Source organism: Homo sapiens, chromosome 18 (assembly GCF_000001405.40).
Source record: "Homo sapiens chromosome 18, GRCh38.p14 Primary Assembly".
NCBI lineage: Eukaryota > Metazoa > Chordata > Mammalia > Primates > Hominidae > Homo > Homo sapiens.
In genome coordinates this window covers 13,220,969-13,242,618 of record NC_000018.10, presented here as the reverse complement: position 1 = coordinate 13,242,618, position 21,650 = coordinate 13,220,969, and the positions used below count along the sequence as shown (strand labels likewise).

Here is a 21,650-nt window from a genome sequence, read left to right as displayed (position 1 = left end):
TGCAAAAAAAATACCACATTTGCATTTAGTTCTTATTTCTTTTTCTATATACTATACAGACTACATGGGATTTTAAAGGGTAAAATATTACCAACCTCTTTACTATTGTTCTAAAAATCTATCATTAGTAAGTGTGTGAAAGTGGTTTTTCCATATCAAAGTGAAGTCCACGAAGGTCTTGCCTGCCTTACCTTAGTTGGATTCCACTAATCACCCGATCACCCCGGCCACAGCTCCAGGCCTGAAACCAAAGTACCAGCAGGAATTAAACAACCTCTTCAAAGAGCTTCCTAAAATCTTAACCTTTAATTGGAAAATGCAGATGATCAAATCAAGCACTGACGTGACCGGGTAAAACTTGAAATACTGGAATCCTAGACAAAATTGTTTTGATGAATTTCCTGCAGACGTGAAAACAAGCGATTCCAGTAGGTCAACAAGTCAGAAGCACGTTCTTGGTTTAATGAAGCTCTGTTAAACTATTTTCTCTTTTTCCTAGAACCCCGATCTTTTGTTATTGTTTTCAGATGATGTGTGTGTTTGTTTGTGGCTGGCTTCACATCACCCTGGAGGGTTCATAAAGATAGGCCACGAAGCCCCGTGCTTGTAGACACACACCCCGACGGACACTGGCCTCGCGTGATGACGCGTGTGAGAAACCCGCCCCAGTTTGACCTCTGCAGTACATAAGGGTCTGTGGGACGTGAACCCCACGACATTTATTTTTAATCACAGTAAAAGATGTAAGATGCACGAGACAACATGACAGTCATCTTTGCAATCCCGGTCTCCAGCAGGAGTAATTACGGCGCAGGACCCATTTCACGCATGTCCCTGTGAAAGCAGGATCCAGGCTGTTCAGCGGGGAGGGGACCGCGGGGACAGAGGAGGATTCTCTACTGACGGCAGAGCGCCCTGCAGCAGGAGGCTGGGACAGTCACCCCTACATTGCCAGCGGTCAGTCAGGAGGAGGAGCTGGAAGGCTGACCCTGGAGTCTCAGCAATACCGGCTTTCAGCAGGAGGCCCAGCCTTCACCTGCTGCTCTCTCTGCCCCTGCATCCGTCCCTCAGGCACGCCCTCAGTCCTACCACACTGACTCCCACATAGCCTGGGTTTTGCTGTCTACCTTGAGGCAGGATCACTGCTCCATTTCAATCCTCAGCGTATCAAGACATTGTGTACAGAGTAGTGATGAGCGGGAGACCCGCTGCAGCACCCGGGAGGCTACCCTGGAAGCCTCCGGAATGAACTTCCGCATGTATACACACAGCGAAAGCACACAGCAGACGCCGGGGCCAGCATGGAACTCGACACTGGTTTGGGTCTTTATAAACCAGCGCCCTGTGAGGTGCCATGTGAGGTGTCCAACAGACACAAATAAAGCCCGCCTTGGCCTGGCGCAGTGGCTCATGCCTGTAATCCCAGCATTTCGGGAGGCCGAGGCAGGTGGATCACTTGAGGTCAGGAGTTCCAGACCAGCCTGACCAACATGGAGAAGCCCCGTCTCTACTAAAAATACAAAATTGGCCGGGTAGTGGCACATGCCTGTAATCCCAGCTAATCAGGAGGCCGAGGCAGGAGAATCGCTTGAACCCGGGAGGCAGACGTTGCAGTGAGCTGAGATTGCACCATTGCACTCCAGCGTGGGCAACAAGAGTGAAACTCCATCTCAAAAAAAAAAGAAAAGAAAAGAAAAGAAAAAAAAAGCCCGCCTCGAGTAGGGCCAATTCTCTCTCAGGCAAAAATCGTGAGATTAGACCACAATCTGTTGTCATCCCTCCAAAGCTGCCGTCTCATTTAAATATCCTCTCATCTGGCAGTCACTGAAGACCTACTATGTGCTAGGCGCTCTGGAGGGCAGCTGGAATATCAAAGTAAACAGGGGAGTCCCTGATCACTGAGTTCCTGGTCCATGAGGAGAACAGATGCCTGCACAGTCCATTAGAAAATAACGGTGCGCACGCATACATGCGCATGCACACATGCACACAAGCACACACATGCACACATATACACAAGCACACACATGCACACACACGCACATGCATGCACACATGCACACTACAGTCAAACTCTGAGGATGCACAGGGCAGCACGGACCTCTAGCCCAGGTGCTGACGCTGTCTTGGAGCACCTCAAGGCCGAGGGAGGCTGAAGCAGCACCTCCCAGGCCAAAGAACCCACAGGATGGCCATGTGAGAGGCAAGAAAGGGCCCAGGGGAGGCTGTGAGCATATGTGGGGGAGGCGGTGTGAAAGCCTTTTTCCGCTTCCCTGCCACCAGCTCACGGGGACATCGGGGCTCTGGGCCTGCGGCCTCAGAGCTCCTTTGGGGCCAAGGGCTGAGCTTTCAGCAAGTTGACCCTGCAAGACTAGGGAAGCCTCAGGCTGCTCTGTTGGAAGGTGAATGTGTGACTCTTTCAAAGCACCCTGACCCTGCATGTGCCCATCTCCATCACCGAAGTAGGTCTGGAGTCGGGTCTTTCAGAATGCTGGCCTAGTTATTTAACTAATGTGCAATGAGTTTCTATGTCCAAGGCCATCCAAAACATGGCAAAGCTAAATAAATATGTATACACTTAGGAAATCCCTTCCTTGGCCAAACAGGAACAGGGACCCTACAACTGGCATGAGGAGAGTTGCACGGGCCAGCATGCTGCCAGGAGGTCCCCAGAAGTACCCATGGCAAACCAAACAAACAGCAGTCAGGAACTGGGTAAAGGTTGGCTGCAGCACAAACAGCTACAGTCGCAGCCTTTGGCTCCATGGCATCTCATGGCTGGTACAGCCTGCGTGGCCCAGGCCACCATGGAGCAAACCCCACGGGCCACAGCTGGAGGTTTGCCAGCCGGCAACTTGGGGCTCCACTCTTTCCAGGCCCGCCAAGGACAGCCAGGGCATCTGCGTCTGGTCCCCAGTCCACACTGTGACTGGTGCAGGCATTACAAGAAAGTGGAACAGTGAGTGAATGAGCGCAGCTGTTCTGAGCCTACTGAAGGTCTCTCCAGCCGGATGGCTGGCCCAAGCCCCCTCTGGACAACTGCTACTTTCATTTGCTCTAAGACTGTATGATCATTAATACCTGTAATTCATTCTGACTAATCAAAATTCATCCTGGTTAATTCACTAGCTAATTAGAATTTAAAAGAGTGCCACAGCCATTCAGGCAAGCTCATTTAGGAGCTATTGAAATCCTCACACAAGACGTAGGTGAAAAGGGAGAGGGAGTCTGTTTAAACTTCTAAGTGGCCCCTGCACTCCCCTTTGTTCCCTCAAATCCCTGAGCTCAGCAGGCTAATCTCACTGGATTAGCTGCATTAACATTTCCAGTGTCCTCTCCCTAACGCCAGGCCCCTCCAACCGCAGGCTTCATGGGTCACAAATGTTCTCTCGAGCCCGCAGTTACAAGCAGCAATTTTTTTTTTTTTTTTTTGAGACAGAGTCTTGCTCTGTGGCCCAGGCTGGAGTACAGTGGTGTGATCTCAGCTCACTGCAACCTCTGCCTCCCAGATTCAAGCAATTATCCTGCCTCAGCCCCCTGAGTAGCTGGGATTACAGGTGTGCGCCACCACGCCCAGCTAATTTTTCTTATTTTTAGTAGAGACAGGGTTTCACCATGTTGGCCAGGCTGGTCTCGAACTCCTGACCTCAGGTGATCCGCCCACCTCAGCCTCCCAAGTGCTGGGATTGCAGACATGAGCCACCCGCCTGGCCTTACAAGCAGCAATCTTAATGTCCCCTCTCCCACCAGAACCTCGGCAGGAACAGGGGCTAGGGCTGTTGAGTAGGAGCAGGAGGCATCTCAGTGAGCTCCCTGGGAACGTGACATTATAAAATCACATTTCCACACAGAAACACAGGCGTAGTCACCACCCGGGAGAGGCTGCCTATGTGTAGGCCCCTCCCAGGTATTGAGTCTCTCCAGGATCCTAAAAGTAACCCAGATTTGGTGCAAACCTCACAGAGATGTGAACCCAGGCTGGCAGGACTCTGCAGTCCACGCCCTCTGGCCTGCACCACACCACCCCTCAGTTCTGTGGGTGCTGAGTCCCACATCTGCACGTTCTCCCACCTGCTCTCCAAAATAACCCAGCTTATTACAGAAAGAGCACAGAGTAGATGTAAAAAGTCTTCCTTTTGTGTGAACACTGACAGCCCAAATAAAGAAGGCATCAGGTGCATCCAACAGTGCTTCAAGACACTGATCAATCATAAAATATTGCGTGGCACAGGCACCTCTAATATCCTTCCAGTTGAGCAAAAAATCTATCAACAAGAGGCAATGCATGAAGGGGACCAGCCCAACAGCAGAATGTTTTTAAGAGGGGGCTCCTTCTCGTTTTACAATAAACCACGACCAGTCATCGAGCAATCTGTCTCCAGTTCCAATACTGGAAAATAAGGAAGAGAAATCCTGGGTTCATGCTTAGATGGCTCTGTGATCTCATGCCCTCCAGACTTGGGAAAGGCAGATATTCTGGCACCTGCTGTTAGTTTACAGTTCCCAATAGTTCCTGGGGTTTTAGGTGGATTTTCAGAGCAAGCTTGTGGGTAAGGATGGCTAGGAACAGCCTCACTCCACTGTCCATTTCCTTCACAATCAGCCCAAGCACCGTGACTTCGCAAGGAGGCAGACACATTGACCTTAAGAACCAGGGTGGGCATCCAGGAGGCCACCAGACTCTACCCCAGCCTCCCATTTTAGAGACGAGATCTTAACAGCATGTGACCTCAGACAAGGTGCTAAATTCCCTAGACCTCAGTTTCCTCATCTGTAAAATGGGACTGATCACTACACTTCCCAACCTCATAAATGAATTACATGGGTCAAATGAAAGAACACATGCAAACTGCTGGACAGCAATGCCTCCATGAAGGGGGTTCTCCATGGGGAAACTGAGGCCAGAGGTCTTGAGTGATCACAGTGACTGGTGCAGGGCTGTCACACAATTGTATGCACTGAGGGAATGGATCTTTGGTTGCTCGGGGGACAATGCTACTTGGAGACCGAGCTAGGAACAAGAATCCACGTTCCCTGAATGTCTTCGAACTAACTGCTTTTTCCACTGAACAGATCACCCCAGTTCCACTTGGCCGTGGGACCAGGAGTGAAATTATCACCTCTGTCTCCAATGCAAGAACAAATCAGCCACCCGGCAGTCACTGTCCACAAGCCCATGAACCACAGAACCTTCCTTGGTACTAAGTATATGAACTAGAAGCTCTGGGAACTAAGAGACCATCTACGGTGGCCTCAGAGAGCCACATCCTATCAGATCACAGGAGGAAGCAGCCAGGACACCAGTGACTCTGCCAGTGCCCAGGACGTGGGGTGATGCACTTAGTCCCCTGCATTTCCCAGCGGGCACCTGCGCCATCTCATCTGACAGTCAGAGTAACCCTGCAAGCAGGCAGATGTCATGATCCCATTTTCAAGATGAGGGAGCAGGACTCGGACTGGCCAAAGGCCACAGCCCAGAACAAGAGCAAGCTGGCCTCCAGAGCCCAAGCCAGCATGCCTAGCAAGCGTTCTATGAGTGGAGCCTCCAGGGATAACCCAAGATCACAAAGACAGAGACACCTGCTGCTTCTTAAGTCACTGTGTTTCATTCTCCATTAAATATAAAACAGAACTCTACCTGCACACATTATGCCCCCAAGCACAGTCCCTTATGGAATGTTACAATCCTCATCTCTAAACTGAGATGGAACCACGCTGGTTCCAAGCAAGACTAGGGAGGGAGGGAGTCCACAGTTCCAGGGACAAAGCAAAGGGGAATTAAAACGTAACCTCAGAGGAAGATGTCAACACATCTGCAAAAGAAAATTAATTCCAACTGTGATCTGAAAGTCCGACATGGAACACCAGGTGCAGGAGACACCCCCACTCCAACAGCAGCTCAGAAACCCTCCAGACTGAGAAACACGGACCGAGCCCCACACAGGCAACGCCAGCACCCAGAGGAAGCAGAGGGTACAGAAAGGAGTTTAACATGTTTTTCTAGGCCAGACGTGGTGGCTCACGCCTGTAATCCTAGCACTTTGGGAGGCCAAGGAGGGCGGATCACCTGAGGGCGGATCACCTGAGTTTGAGACTAGCCTGACCAACATGGAGAAACCCTAACTCTGCTAAAAATAGAAACTTAGCCTGGGGTGGTGGTGCATGCCTGTAATCCCAGCTACTCAGGAGGCTGAGGCAGGAGAATCGCTTGAACCCGGGAGGCAGACGTTGCAGTGTGCCGAGATCGCACTACTGCACTCCAGCCTGGGCAACAAGAGCAAAACTCTGTCTCAAAAAAAAAAAAAAAAAAAGTTTTTCTATTGTTAGATCAAAGCAAAATGATGGTTCCAGGGGGAAAAGATGGAACAGTGCTTCTCTGTGTAACTGTTTCCACATCTAACGAGAAACTGCTCTGCACAGAACTGCCCAGCCCAGCTCGGGAGCGACGGGTGCCAGATGGAACCACTCTCTGTAGAGAGTAAACCTTGCTATCCCCATAGCAACTCCACCGCGCTTCCAAAATGCTTAAAAAGACACACATCAAATTGTTTTCCACAATTTTTCAGAAAGTGACTTTTTATTCCACACCCTTAGCAAATCTAGTTAACTGGGAATTTTCTCATTATAAAAACAGGAACACATGATCATTGTAGAAAATATGGAAAAGATGAAAAGACAGAATTTTTTAAACCATCCTTAGCACTATATGCCAAGACCTCTATTTTTAATGTCCTGGTGTATTTCCTTCCAGTCTGTTCTCCGGGTGGAGGTTCAAACAGATTCCTAACGGAGGCAAGGATCAGCACCCAGCCTGCAAGAAAAGCAACCCACCCCAGGGCTGGATGTGCACTTCCCCCAGGGGCAGGACTGCAGATGTGTCCTCAGACTGGGAGGGAAATAAAGTCGACTCATCCAACCAAAGCCGATCGCATATGCAACATGGCTAGTGGTCTATTACACAGGCTAAAAGCCATCAATAGGAATGAATTTGCTAGGAGTCCTCACCACTATTTAGAATGTGGGGGGTTTTTCAGTTTTTTCTCCTTCTTCCGCACTTGGTTTTCACAATCCTTGTGGATTTTAAATCCAAGGCAACAAAACTAATACCAGAATAAAAGCACAGTCAGATGCCTGGAGGGTGAGTCAGACTTCCAGGTAGCTGTCGAACATTTAGTCTTCTTTGAAAAGATGGAAAAAAGATTCACAGACCATAATTTTCTCTACTTTGAACTTTTCCTGATCCCAAGAACAGAGGAAAACAGCTTAGGAGAATCAAGGTTATGATAGAGACATCTCGTCTAAAGAGAAAGCATCTACATATGATGAATTTAATAAACTTTAATAATCTGATGATTTTTTTTTTTTTTGAGATGGAGTTTTGCTCTTGTTGCCCAGGCTGGAGTGCAATGGCGCAATCTCAGCTCACTGCAACCTCTACCTCCCGGGTTTAAACAATTCTCCTGCCTCAGCCTCCCAAGTAGCTGGGAATACAGGCACACGCCACCACGCCTGGCTAATTTTTTGTATTTTTAGTAGAGACAGGGTTTCTCCATGTTGGTCAGGCTGGTCTCGAACTCCCAACCTCAGGTGATCCACTCACCTTGGCCTCCCAAAGTGCTAGGATTACAGGCATAAGCCACCGTGCCAACCTAATCTGATGATTTTTTTACAGCTTGATAAATTGGTTTCTAAGCAAATAAATAACTAATTTATCCAAAATGTATTTAGCCAGCAAGTTAAATTTGGGAGGAGAGAATGGAAGGGCAAAAGTTGGTCTGAAAAACAATTGCTTCTCCTGGTTTCTGGTAGGTAGTTTACTTAGAGGAAAACAGTAAAATAAGAATGTAATGTAGGTGAGCAGCAGTCCATGGGGTGGGGCGGGGCTCATGGAAGGTGCTCAGCCTCCCCGGCTCATCTCTCTCACTGCTGCTCATACTTCAGCCTTTCTGCAGGACTTTCTGTTTGCACTGAGGCCTGTCCCAACCCACGGAGGCTCAGGTGAGATGGCCTCACACCCACACCTGGTGCCCACCCAGAAGTTGGCAGAAGGGAGGAGTCCAGAGCCCCATCCAGGCCTACGAGTCTGTGGACCTGCCCACCATCCTCCCCTGGCCTGCTCACAGGTGCCTGCTCACAGTCCATCTGTTTATTCAACAAACAGTCCTGGCAGCCCGATGCTGGGCCAGGACAGGGACAAGAAGACGATTGTCTGCCCTCCTGGAGCTCACAATGACCAGGCCCCGTGCAGGAGACACATGGGCCAGGGAAGGCCTCCTAGGGCAAAGCCAGGCGACTAATGTGCGCACCCAGGGAGAGTTCTGGGTAGGGCAACCACAGAGGCCTGTGCGGCGAGGGGGTACGTGGGTGAGGAGCCTCAGCAGGAGGGAGGCCCGAGGGGCACAGGGCATGCCATCAGGGATTACAAGGGTCACTGGCTGCTGCATCCAGACCAGACCATCGCGGGTGGGGAGGACAGCACCCGGTCAGAGGCCCCGCAGAAACCCAGGGAGAGAGGACACACGAGCACTGCTGGTGGTGACAGTGAAAAGTGATCATATTGGGACGAACGCTGGAGGCAGAACAAATAGGTTTCAAACATGCACTGGGCCATGGGAAAAGGTGACGAAAGAAGTGTCTGAGATGTGTGGCCTGAACCACGGGCAGACAAGGATGCTGGTGACTGGAATGGGACAGTGAGGGAGTGACAGGGCTGGGGGGCTGAGGGGCAGGGAGGAGCAGCTGGGGGAGTAAGAGTTCAGTTTTAGACATGCTGGCTTGGAGGTGCCTATGAGTAGAGATGCCCGGTAGGCAGGTAGGTGTAGGAGCCTAGGGTTTGGAGTTCTGGGCCGAGGTCCTCTATGGAAATACATAATCAGTCTCAACAGTTGCGACAAAACTCTGCCTCTAAGCTCTCCAGCTGTGAGTATAAGGTTCTAGGCTCAGAAACCTCTCTCCACTGACAGCTAAGGGAGAGACCCCGTTCCTCTGGGCTCTGAAGCTGGCCACACCTTACCAGCAGGCTGCATCACCCAGGGAGGGAAGGGGAACAAATACTCAAAGACATCTTTGCTTAGAGAAGGTTTCCATAAAACAGCACCAGAGACAGTGACAAACAGGTCACAGGAGCACCAGAGACAGCGACAAACAGGTCACAGGATGGAGAATATTTCCAATAAGAGGGTGCCGGCTTCCTTGGCCCACTTCCAAACACAGCTGTCCCGCCTCTTACTGGGCTCTGAGCAGTGGGCCCCTCTGCCAACCTTGCCAACCCAAGAGCAAGCCAGAGGGTCCCTTGATGTCTTGCCACCTCTTAACAGTCAACAAGCCAATGCATTTGCTACATCACAGCAGCACTACATCATCCAGTAGCAGAGAACGTATCTGAACGGCATGGCATTTGCCTTCTTAGCGGCCAGTGACCCGTGTCCAAGCAGACCCAAGAGCACTTCGCCCGCTCACGTCCTTCAGGACAGGCGCCTGCAAAGAGGTGGCGCCACTGGTGGCAAGCTCCATCCCTAACGCACTGTGTGTGGCGACAAGCAGATCCTCTGCCATCGTCTAGAGTCCTCATTGATCACACAACTCATGACCAGGGGAGATCAGAAAGCGCCTCACCTGCCACCTAATCATTTTAACAATGAGCTGAAGCCTTGGTCATGAGGACGCTGGCTCCTGTTCCCTTCAGGGAACCAGGAGGACCACACCAGGGAGAGCCAGCAGACGTGGCAGCCTTCTCTCCCTGCTGCCAGCTTCGGGTCCGGAGCTGAGTTCGGACGAGCATCACAGCTGGCACGCGCCTCTCCCACACGCAGCTTCCAGGGAGCATGGCTGGAGGTGGCGCTTCCTGGGCTGCGGAGGAGAGAGCAGGAAGCTGCGAAGCCAGTGTGAACGGCGCACACGGCTTCCACTTGGAACGCAAGCAGGGGATCAGGGGACTTGGCAGCCACAGCGGAAGAGTCAGAGCTGCAGACAACAGTGAATAGCTGAGCTGGGGAAGGGATGCGGCAGCACGAGGTGACATAGAGGCTTGTGGAGCACAGCACGGGGCAGCAGCAGCCCCCGGACAAGGCCACGCAGGGAAGGAAGGCGATTTACACGGAGGCTTGTGGAGCACAGCACGGGGCAGCAGCAGCCCCCGGACAAGGCCACGCGGGGAAGGAAGGTGATTTTGTTGAAAGGGGAGAAACAGAACTGAAGTCAACTTGCATCCACAGCCGAACAAACTGTACCAGGACAGAAGCTCAAACCATGCCAGGCAAAAAGGGGCACAGGCCACAGACAGAGGCGGGAGGCGAGTGGGACAGGAGAGGGGCCACACTGGCAGATCCACCTCACTGCTGGCACCAGGCCAAGTCTCTGCACTGCTCAGGACCTGGGACATACTCCTAAGTCCCACAAGAGCGCCCAGAAGACGCTCCTCTAACAGGGAGGAGATGAGAGCAGGCCCCTGCGGTGGCCCCAGCCTGCACCGTACTCGCGCCACACTCCATCCTGCATGGCCCACCAGGAGAGAGCTTCACGGGGTGCCCCCTCAGTCCCCTTGATGTAACTATGTGTATCTTCGAATTCAGTTTTTAGTGCTATACCCTTGACCTCCCAAAATGACATCGACTAGGTGGGTGCCTGCCCAGCCACCAAGCTGCCATCCCTGGGACCAATGACCTTCAGAAAACAGCCTGCCATGTGGTTTGGACAACCATTGGGCATCACATTCCAATTAGGTTTCACACATTAAAATAACATAAACTCTGGCCTGAATTCCTCATTCAGCTAATAGCCACATTAGAGAAGAAGAAACAAATCCATTAATTATACTTCTATGTACATTTCATTGATTATTTGTTCCTTAAAGCCAAGGAACATGAAATTAGATGTTGTCTGTGAAAAGCTTTAAATAGTTACACGTTTTGCAAATAGAAGGCATTATTATTCCCATGCGAAAGTGATAAACCTGGCTTCCTGTCGTGAACTGAATGCAGTATGAAATGTAAGCGTTTTGTGAAATGTAAACAAATATCAACTATTAAAGCACTGTGGTCGAGACAGAGCTCCCCACTGCAAACAATTCGATATGAAATCAAGGTAGGTGTTCTAATGGGCTTGTTTTTCTTTACCATTCGTGGCTGGTTGATTTGGTTTTCGACAAAGATGGGAGGAAACGCTCCACACCAGAACCAGACTCACGCGATCTCGGGCAGGCCGCAATCAGGAGGAATGGTGACCCAAAGGGCAAGGGCCACCCGACATGCTCACCAAGAGCAGCGCCCCGTGCCCAGGTTCACTCCCGCTCCCAAAAGCCTCTGGCCTGTCTGCGTGCACCCACCTTTCACACGAGCCATGTGTCCACTGCCATTTCTTCTCAAGCAAAACCGGTCCAGACCCCTCTTGCCCTTCTCCCTCCCGCTTCCTCCCATACCACCTGCCTTTTGCCTCACCCATAGACATCTATACGCCTCTGAACTCGAAGACGATGCTGCCCGTGGCGCGCATTCCATGCAGGCAGGGAAAGAACCTTCACTCATCCCTGCAGCCCCGCAGCACCCTGGACATCAGGAATGAGCTTCACCAGATTACAAGTCTCCATTCTTATAAATGCATGTGGGCCCTAAAAGGGTCCCCCTGCGCCGAGCATGAATAAATAATCTCACCCTCCTAAGGAAGATTTCTCCACACAAATAAAGCAGTCCTATCAACATTTCTGATCACCAAACTGGTGTATTCAATCCCTCCCCGACCTGTGTCAGGATTCGCCCTGGAGGGTTCAGATAGCATGGACCAGAAAGAGGAGCCTAGGAGAGTCAGGGCGGCAAAGGAGCAAGATATGGTCTGTGGATTTTGAGTTCACAACAACTGAAAGCTACAAAAGTAATTTAGAGTTTGAGTTTGAAATTTCAGGCACTGTAAGCAGTAGCATCTACCCATGACACTCGCAGACACCCTCCCACCTCTTCCCCCACCTGCAGCCATGCATGGCCCGCCCTGCCCTCCCCCTGTCTTAACATATGTTCCCACTGCCCGCCTGTGGGCCCCCAATTTTCTGAAGCATATACTCCTACAAGCAAAAATGTCTAAGCACACAGGTCATGTATATTTATTTATAAATTATAAATTATATACATATACTATGGTAATAGTACATTGTACACATAATATACAAAGTTTGAAAAATGGAGTAAAAATAAGTATATGCGTTCTAATATTTTCTCGCTGCAACCCACTAGATTACTCTTTCCCTGTTTGTTCACCTTAAAAAAAAATCTGTTCTTTTGCTAAGTCTCAGCCCGAGGTCTATGTCTCAGTCCAGCCGTGCTGCTGTAACGAAATACCTTCAATGGGGTCATTTAGAAACAGCAAAAATGTGTTGCTCCTAGTTCTGGTGGATGGGACGTCCAAGATCAAGGTGCCGGCAGATCTGGTGTGTGGTGAGGGCCCATTCTTCATAGATGGCACCTTCTGTGAGTCCTCGAGTGGTGGAAGGGGTGAACAAGCTCCTCCGGCCTCTGTTATAAAGGCACTAATCCCACACATGAGGGAGAAGCCTCGTGACCTAATCCCCTCCTAGAAGCCCCATCGCTCAATACTATCAATACTATCACAGTGGAGTTATGTTTCAATTGAGGAGTTTCTGGGACACACAAACATTCACACAACAGCATTTGGCCTCCTCCATGAAGTCTCCCTTGATTGACCAAAGTACATTGAGCCCTCAGGAAGCCAGGAGACAGCAGGTCTACTCACATCTTCCTCTGTCTCCCTGGTATGGTTGTTAGCCCTGTGTGGCAACCGTGGGCACACCTGTCTTCCACCAGTTTGGCGACAAAGCCATGTCTTTATCTATGCCTAGTGCGTGGACGTCCTGAGTGCTCCATAAAAATGCACACAGGAGGAAAGAGTAGAAGGAGAGGGAAGGGAGGGAGCGAAGGAAGCGTCAGAGCCACCACCTCTGGGCCTGGGGGCCTCACTCTCCTCCACATCTAAAGCCTTTCTTGAAAAACTGCTTAGTTCAAGACGTGATTGTAAAACCACTCTCACTTGCTAATTGCTTCCACCACACATATTCTATCTTCTCCTTGGTCTCTATGTCTCCAAAAGGCGGGAACTGGGTCTCTGACTGTGCCAGTGCAGGGCAGATGTCTCACGAGTACACACTTGGCTCACGAGCTGCCTTTTACTGAGCACTCGCTGTGGTAGCTGGCCTGTCCCACCTGATCTGCATACATATGATCTTATCTAATCCTCTCAAAAACCTACAAGGTGGGCAAACAGCTATTTCAGAGGTGAACTGAGACCTAGAGAGTCAGTGACCTTCCCCAGGTTGCACAGCCTTCAAGGGGCCCGGCAGCACAGGGGCCCAGGAGGGACAGCTAGAAGGATAACTGAGCAACTGCCCATGGCAAGCCCTCAGGAGGCCTTTACCCGAATCGTCCCAAGGACACCACGGATGATGCAGTCACCCCGTGGCAGCTGACACACAGGCTGGCGCTGCAGCCTGGACGCTGCCTCCTCGGTGGGTCCAATGGGGACAGCTTCCTCCATGCAGATGGCAGAACAGAAGCCATTCCCTCAGACACATAAATGTGCCCCAGCTATAAAACTCCAACATACAATGTTACAGCAACCAAAGGATGAGGATTCACATTAGAGGGTAATGCACCAAGAGTCCATCAGATAACAACTGCTCCGCTTCATTCCAAGTTCAACTTTATCAGAAAACAAATGTCATGATTTTTCTGGACTAAATTTACTACATATAGCTAGTTGTAACTGTACATACACAACATTTATTATTTTTACATTACTCTTCAGATGAAAAAATGCAAAATCCCAGGACGTCTAGTTTAGAAGTAAACAATTTTGAATGTCATATTCAAACCCAATAGAAGGAAAGCTAAGTGTTTTAGGGGCACAATTTTTTAACATTTTTTTTGTAGAGATAGGGTCTTACTATGCTGCCCAGGCTGGTCTCAAACTCCAGCCTTGTGCCTGGCCTAGGGGTCAAGATTTATCTTCATAGCCAAAGTAGCAGAAAAACAAATGTTCAACCGAGCCAACCAACTGCCGACATTTCCTCAAGTCCTGCACACATTGTATCCAGAAGGCCTCCCGTCCCCACTAGGAAAGCAGGGACTGTGTTGCAGGAGCAAGCCAAACAGCAAGGTCAAATCAGACAGAAATCGGTCAGCTCTGCACACCTCAGCCAGTAACAAACACAAGGTGGATTTGTCAGGCACCCAAAGCCCTCTGGGTCAATGGCAAGCACCCTCACAGTGACATCAGAGCCACCACCTCACTGAGGAAAATGGAGAACCGCCAAGGACTGTGGCAGAGGCGTACTCCCCAAAAGACACTGAGGGACCCCACCGGCCAGACCACTGGAGGACTGCCACCCCATTAGCAGCCTTCAGCACACTCCATCTCCACTCCGCAGGCCTCATACCATCTCCAGCCTTTTGGAATCCATCTCCAAGGCCTCAGCACTGCCACAGGTGAGGGCAGGTGTGCACCTGGGACAGAGTGTGGTGCTGATGGCAGGCCAAGCAGAGCTGAGAAGGACCCAGTCTGCAGTCTCAACCCAGGGAGATGGGGCACAGCATCACCAGCTGAGCTTCTGCCGTCTGCACCTGCAGTACCTGGGCTCACGCACCTAGGCACCTCCTTGAAAGCTTTGGTACAAAACACAGAACTGTGCTGATACGTTCAGGCTCTGTGTCCCCACTCAAATCTCACCTTGAATTGTAATCCAAATTGTAATCCCCATGTGTTGGGGGAGGGACCTCATGGGAAGGGAATAGATCATGAGAGTGGTTCCCCCGTGCTGTTCTCATGATAGTGAGTTCTCACGAGATCTGATGGTTTTATAAAGGGCTTTTCCTTCCTTCACTCTGCACTTCACTCTCTTGCTGCCAAGTGAAGTAGGACATGTTTGCTTCCACTTCCGCCATGACTGTAAGTGTCCCAAGGCCTCCTCAGCCACGTGGAACTGTGAGTCAATTAAACCTCTTTCCTTTATAAATTACCCAGTCTCGGGTATTTCTTCATAGCAGCATGAGAACGGACTAATACATGGGCCCACCAGGTCCTGTGGGACCCACTCACTGTCCACCAGGCAATGCCAGGTGGAAGTGCACCCCCAGCATACACCAAAGAGCAGGTGAGCACCTTGCACAGTACATGAGGGTCTCCCCACCTGATGTGCTCAGGTGCCTGTGAACAAAACCACACCGATCATGACCAGCCCTAGAGAAAGTGGTGCCATCTTGCTCCCTCCAGCACGGTAAGCACCCTCCATTCCAGCTGCTTCCAACCCCTCAATGAAAGACTGTCTTTAATTAGTTCATCACCACCTAGTAAAGTGATTTTTTCATCTCTCTCAAGCTTTAGGAGCAACAGCTTAAGAGGTCAGGCACTGTTCATAGTTGTTGCAACTCTGGAAGGGCTGATGCCTTGGAGGAAAGCAGAAAACTTTAGCACATTTGCAGAGGATGTGGAGGTCCTCCACAGACGACACAAGAATGGAGTATGGAGGATCATGAATTTTCTGTCTGCCCATCATGAATTTTCTGTCTGCATCCTTAGGGGCAAGACTAGCAAAGAGTGTGAGGTCCAATAGGGATCATTTGAAATGAAGAGAAGCGACTGAACAAGGTATGGTGGGGCTATCCAGACAGCCAGGTGCTGACTCCACCCCCTCCTGGCCCTCATTCTCCATTGCAAGTTCAAGGCTACCCCTAAAGAGGGAGGATGAGGAGGCTGGGGGAAGACCAAGAGCAGTCTATGCCCATCGTATCCTATAATTTGTTTAAAAGACATGTTATTAGAATGTTTATTGCCCTGAACCTACCTGAGTAGAATTTAATTCTATTTTATTTTATTTTATTTTATTTTATTTTATTTTATTTTATTTTATTCAAATTTTAAAAAGCACAAAGGTCTTACCCCACCTACTGAGATCATCCACTGACATTATGATGTTTGGCCTTAACAAAATTCTAGCAAACAGCAAAACTCTTTTCATCGATAAGCCAGATGACACAAAGTCAGATTTTCAAAATAAAAAGATAGGAAAGAAAATTTAAACGTCATGTGCCCATATCATTTACTGCCAAATTTGCAAAGGTTTTTTAAATAATATTCGGCATTGACAAGGGTGCAGTCACCCTCTTCTCTGTGGGAATCTAAGTTGCCTCTCCCATTCTGAAAGCCCCATCTGGCAATATTTTTGGAGGACCCTTAAAAGTCTTATAGCCCCCAATTTCCCTTTTAAGAATCTACCCAAACAATGTTTTAAAAAATGTTCAGGCCAAGCACAGGGGCTCACGCCTGTAATCCTAGCACCCTGGGAGGCCAAGGCGGGAAGATTGCTTCAGCCCGGGAATTTGAGACCAGCCTGGGCAACATGGCGAAACCCGGTCTCTACAAAAAAAAAAAAAAAAAAAAAGCAAGGCATGGCAGCATCTGTAGTCCCAGATACTTAGGAGGCTGAGGGCAGAGGATGCCACAAGCCTGAGAAATGGCGGTTGCAATGAGCCGAGATCACACCACTGCACTCCAGCCTGGACAACAGAGCAAGACCCCATCTCCATTTTTTTAAATTATCAAGTTATGTAATAAATTTCTAAAAAAAAAGTTTAAAGACGTTCAATGCAATCATATTTATAACAGAGAAAACCGGTAACAGCCTCAATGTCCTAAAACTGGTTTTAAAAAAATAACAATATAACCATAGAATAGAATATTATACAATCTAGAAGTAGGATTTTTGGAGAATATTTAAATCACATGAAAAATATTCATGAAAGAATGCTAAGCTTCCTAAAAAGTACATAAATGACTTTATAATTAATTAATAAACCTGGAATCTACTAACCTACTAATCATCTCTAGCAGTGAGATCATAGATAATTTCAGTGATTTTTATTTTCTTCCTTCTTTCCCTATTTCCTAATTCTCTTCAGTACACATGTATCAGGAAAAGAAAACGTTATTTGTCCCACAGATGCTGCTAGGAGCAGCTACCCCAAGACAGGCCTTGCACCTTGGGTCATGACAATGCGTGGCTACTGAGAGCTGTTGACAGAGTGGACAGGGCCCAGACCAGGACAGTCTCTCTAGAGGTCTTCACCTCCTCAACCGTAACTTAATCAGCCCCATGCCGGGCTAGCCCCATGCCACAAAGGCTCAGAAATGCCCTGCAACATGTGGGACACCTGGTAGTATCTACATAGGGGTCAGCATCCATCCCAGCTGCTGGGGGTGGCTCAAGAGCTGTGAGGGACACCCTTTCCTGCCTGATACCGTGGACCAGTTTGCAAAGAGCTGACTGTCCTGCTAGGCCCATGATATGTGCATCTCTTGGGTACTCCCTTTAGGTCCCACAATCTCAAAGATTTAGCTTGTCCAAGGTGGACAACATTTCATAGGACGTACACGTCAATATGCATGATTCATTTACCTATACCTCATGGAGCAAAACAGAGACTCTTGGCCTGGCGCAGTGGCTCACACCTGTAATCCCAGCACTTTGGGAGGCTGAGGCGGGCGGATCACTTGAGGTGAGGAGTGAGAAACCAGCCTGGCCAACATGACGAAACCCCGTCTCTACTAAAAATACATAAAATAGCTAGGTGTAGTGGTGCATGCCTGTAATCCCAGCTACTCAATTTAGGAGGTTGAGGTACAAGAATCGCTTGAACCTGGGACGGAGGTTGCAGTGAGCTGAGATGGATCACGCCACTGCACTCCAGCCTGGGTAATAAAGGGAGACTCTATCTAAGAAAAAAAAAAAAAAGAGAGACTCTTAAAGATGGGATAACTTTTTTTCATTTTTAAAGAAACTGTAGGCCAGATGCAGTGGCTCATGCCTGTAATCTCAGCACTTTGGGAGGCCAAGACGGGCGGATCATGAGGTCAGGAGATCAAGACCATCCTGGCTAACACGCTGAAACCCCGTCTCTACTAAAAATATGAAAAAATTAGCCGGGCGTGGTGGCACGTGCCTGTAATCCCAGCTACTCGGGAAGCTGAGGCAGGAGAATGGCATGAACCCTGGAGGCAGAGCTTACAGTGGGCCGAGATTGCGCCACTGAACTCCAGCCTGGGCGACAGAGCGAGACTCCGTCTCAAAAAAAAAAAAAAAAAAAAAAAGAAAGAAAGAAAGAAACTATAGTGCTCTTTGTCCTGGGATGAACTGGATCCCTCCGAGTGAAGAGACAGCTGGTGGGGGCATTCCCAGCACACACCCCCAGACCCAGGCAGTTAGCTGCTCCCAGGAACCGGGCAGTCACACTCCACCAGGCTACACCCAGAGGTGCCATGGGGAGGCTGATGGAAGTGGTTTTAAGGACCAGTGCAGAAGAAATATCTGGCAATACCAGCACTCCTGCTGACTGTTGCTTTGTCTTTCTCTCAAGGAACTCAAGGGATAAGGTGGACAGAGACAAAGCTGCCATGGTCCAGTGCTCATAACTGAGGCTCTTGCCACAGGTAAAACAGGCAGAGAGCAGAGATTAGGATTAAAAACAGGGGAGGGAGTTGGGGAGGGAGGGCTACAGCACGGAGGCAAGAAGGACAAAACCCTGAACTTGCTGGCTGGATAGAGTCCCAGTGGGACCTGTATGGGGACAAGAAGAGAATGGCACCCTGCCAGTAAGTGGTCCCAGATGAAGAATCCCTGACCCAGGTCCCACCTCATTTAGCTCCAGAGGCAGATCCCAGAACCTGGAGCGATACTGCCCAGGCTGCTCCACCCTTTATTCACAAGTTGGTGACTCTGGGCAATGTCTTGACATCTCTGTAACATGCAGATGGCAGGAGGACCCATGTCACAGGGCCGCTGTGAGGATTAGATTAGTGAATCAGTGTATGGCAGCCCTCAGAACAGAGCCTGGCACACAGGAGAGGCTACAGAAGCACTTGGAGCTGCTGTTATTATTATCTGCCCACGTGCCCTGGTTAGAGGTCAGGGAGCCCTTCGGAAAGCAGCCTGGCCTCCTACAGCCTCTCCAGCGGCTGCCTTCGGAAGCAGAGAGACTTTCCAATGGAAATTCCCTTGCAGCTCTGTGCACAGGTTGCTGGCCCCTGGGGCCACGGACTCCGAGAACAATGCCTGGCTGTGCATTGCCGGCCCAGCCCTCTTCTGAAGAATCCCAGCAGCCAGGCCAGCAGTGTACCAGGAAGCCACACAGTGTGGCAAAAAGCCTGCCTGCCATTCTGCAAACCCCAGAGGCAGGAAGTCGAAGCACATCTGCAGAGGGTCCTCGCGACACCTGGCATGGAGGATGGCTAGCCAGTGTGAGTGGGAAGAATTTCTTTCTCTCAAGGCCTACTTTCAGGAGACTCTCTAGGTCCTTTTAGGAACAGAGCAGATGAGGGCAAACACACATCACTCACACCCACCCCCTTCCCTACCTTAACGCCACTCAGTCGTCCAGTCCCCAAGTCCCATCCACAAAGAGAAGAGCAAATCATTTGGCAGGGGCCCCTGGTATGAGGTGGCTTTGTAACATGAGCTGTGTGTCCGCAAACAACTAGGGCAAGACCATTAAGTTCATTACACCTGTCACTCTGCCAGCTGAGCTTCCAAATTGCCCAGATGAAAGTACATTATGCCCAAGGAGTGCCACCCAGGCCCTCCCAGGCCAGTACAGCCTTATCTATCGTAGACAATTTGTTCTCAGTGTCTGCACCTGCAGAAAGAACACAACTGTAAACAGCTTGAAACTTGGCTTTGAGATACTTTAGGCCCTGGGCAGCTAAGAACAAAGTTGAGGTCTCCTGGGAAGAAGCTAGGTGCCTGATTTCCCTGCTCAGAGGAAGAACGGGAGTGTGGACCAGAGGTGGGGCCAGGGCAGGGGAGGAGGCGGAGCAGCCTAGCAAAATAAAGGACACAGAGTTGCTCCTTGGATTCTACTGCCCTGCAGTAGAGCCAAAAATAAAAGCAAGGCACACCCTTTTCATTTCCGAACCGAGGCACAGAATTCTAGGCGGCAGGCAGAGGCCCTCTGCGCAGCTGCATGCACACCAGGCCCATGAGCGGCGCCCAGCCGGCCGCCGGCTGCAGAGTGCGTTTGCAGTGCAAGCGTGTTGCAGACAGCGGTAATTTATTTATCCCTGTCATGTAACATTAACAATCTGTCTGGAGCTTGGCAAGCACCAACTTGCACTGTCACATAAACTGTCTGACAAACTTAAAGTTTCGTAAATGCTTCTCTTTTTCCAGCAGACAATAAAGCATCCTTAAAAAAAAATAGTTGTCATCTTTTCTGTTCCTTTTCTCTCTTCCTCTTCCAAAAAAAAAAGGAAGAAAAAGAAAAAAAAACCAACAACAAAAGAACCCATGCAAACAGAAATGATCCCTCAGCAGGATCCTTAACCCTGAACAGCTCGACATTTTTCCGATGCCAAGTAAATGAGTAAATAAATGGATGGGGGGAGTGACGTTGTAGGAGACGGTTGAGAAGGGGGTACAGAGGAAAATCTGCAAAACAAAAGTACAGTCATTAAAAATTAATAAAGGGTGTGGACATCCAGACCCCACCCCCGTCTGCTCATGGGGATTGAGCCAGACATTCTGTGTCCTCGTTAAGTGGAGTCTGGCAGGCTGCCGGAGTGTTAGTGGGTTCTGGGAATGCCAATATATTAACCAGAGGACTTTTTGCATACCCTTTAGAGTTTTTATTCTAGAAAAGTCAACCATTTGGCACAGTGCAGCATTATTTTTGTCCGGGAAAGCTCGCAGCTGCCAATCAAGGGAGAAATTATATCTATGTTCTTTGTAATCTCCAAGACCTATCTGGAAAACAAGCTTGGTGGAAAGAAAAGTCTTCACAAAAACAGCTTAAAAGGCCAAAGTACCATTTTTAGTGAGAACTCAAAAGAAAAGCAATCCATTCTTAAATCACATGGATATGTGACAATACAGACATCATTTTCAATTCCTCCTGTGATGGAAAAAAATGACATTAACTGAAAATTCAAACCCAATATTTTCAGCATAATTAATAGTACAGGTACTAGCTTCAGTCCTTTCTCTGCCTAACAATGAAGCAAACAATGCCCCCCAAAAAATGTCCCTAAAAAGTGGCAGGTCTTGTGGCCTAAATTTTCAAATAGTAGACAGAACCTTTGCATTCCTATTTTGAAACTTAAGACTCATCTTCCATGTACACCCGTAATATAGGTCAAGATGTAATTCTAAACTAACACAGTTCATATAGGCAGAAAGTCTCTTTGACATCAGAAAATAATGGCTTCCAGGAGATTTTTTTCTGAGACCTAAAAAAAGGAAGGAACAGAGGGAGAGAGGGAAGGAGACAGAGAGGAAGGAAGAAAGAAAAGAATAATTTTGGACTACATAGCAATTTTGCCGCTATTCATATTTAATATCCATGTGCCGCTATACATTCTGTTAACTATTTCCAAAAATTTTTCCAGGTTAATATGGTGCGCTCTTCTTTTACAATGTTTTATCACTTCTTGAGGGATAACATTTTTCCTTCTCTACTAACTCTTACACAGGAAGAAGGACACATCATAGAGACTGGATAAGCCCAGATTCCAAAGAAAGATGAGAAGAAACATGGCAAGGACTACCAGAAAGATCAGAGCAGTCTACAATTTCAAGAATTCCTGCCCAGGGCCCTGAGGTGGCT

The 21,650-nt window shown here is 49.2% G+C and overlaps 1 protein-coding gene and 1 long non-coding RNA gene across 36 annotated transcripts in view, besides 1 other annotated feature; both read right to left on the bottom strand.

Annotated features, from left to right (window-relative positions):
• The window catches only part of LDLRAD4 (low density lipoprotein receptor class A domain containing 4), a 435,073-nt gene that overhangs the window by 410,136 nt on the left and 3,287 nt on the right, over window positions 1–21,650 (bottom strand). The window contains exon 1 of one of the 35 annotated variants that reach the window (XM_024451256.2): window positions 192–3,415. The exons of the other annotated variants lie outside the window; for them this stretch is intronic. The gene's annotated coding sequence lies outside the window, so the exon portion shown is untranslated. Of the gene's footprint in view, window positions 1–191; window positions 3,416–21,650 lie in introns of those variants that run through there. 35 annotated transcript variants of the gene reach the window in all.
• Window positions 543–3,076, bottom strand: C18orf15 (chromosome 18 putative open reading frame 15). The gene has a single exon (NR_146617.1). It is a non-coding gene; the product is annotated as a chromosome 18 putative open reading frame 15 (long non-coding RNA).
• Window positions 2,297–2,931: an enhancer, noted in NCBI's record as "H3K4me1 hESC enhancer chr18:13239687-13240321 (GRCh37/hg19 assembly coordinates)". NCBI's record gives its function as "activates a minimal SCP1, AML or CMV promoter by ChIP-STARR-seq in primed H9 embryonic stem cells {active_cell/tissue: H9 hESC(primed)}" and the evidence as "EXISTENCE:reporter gene assay evidence [ECO:0000049][PMID:30033119]".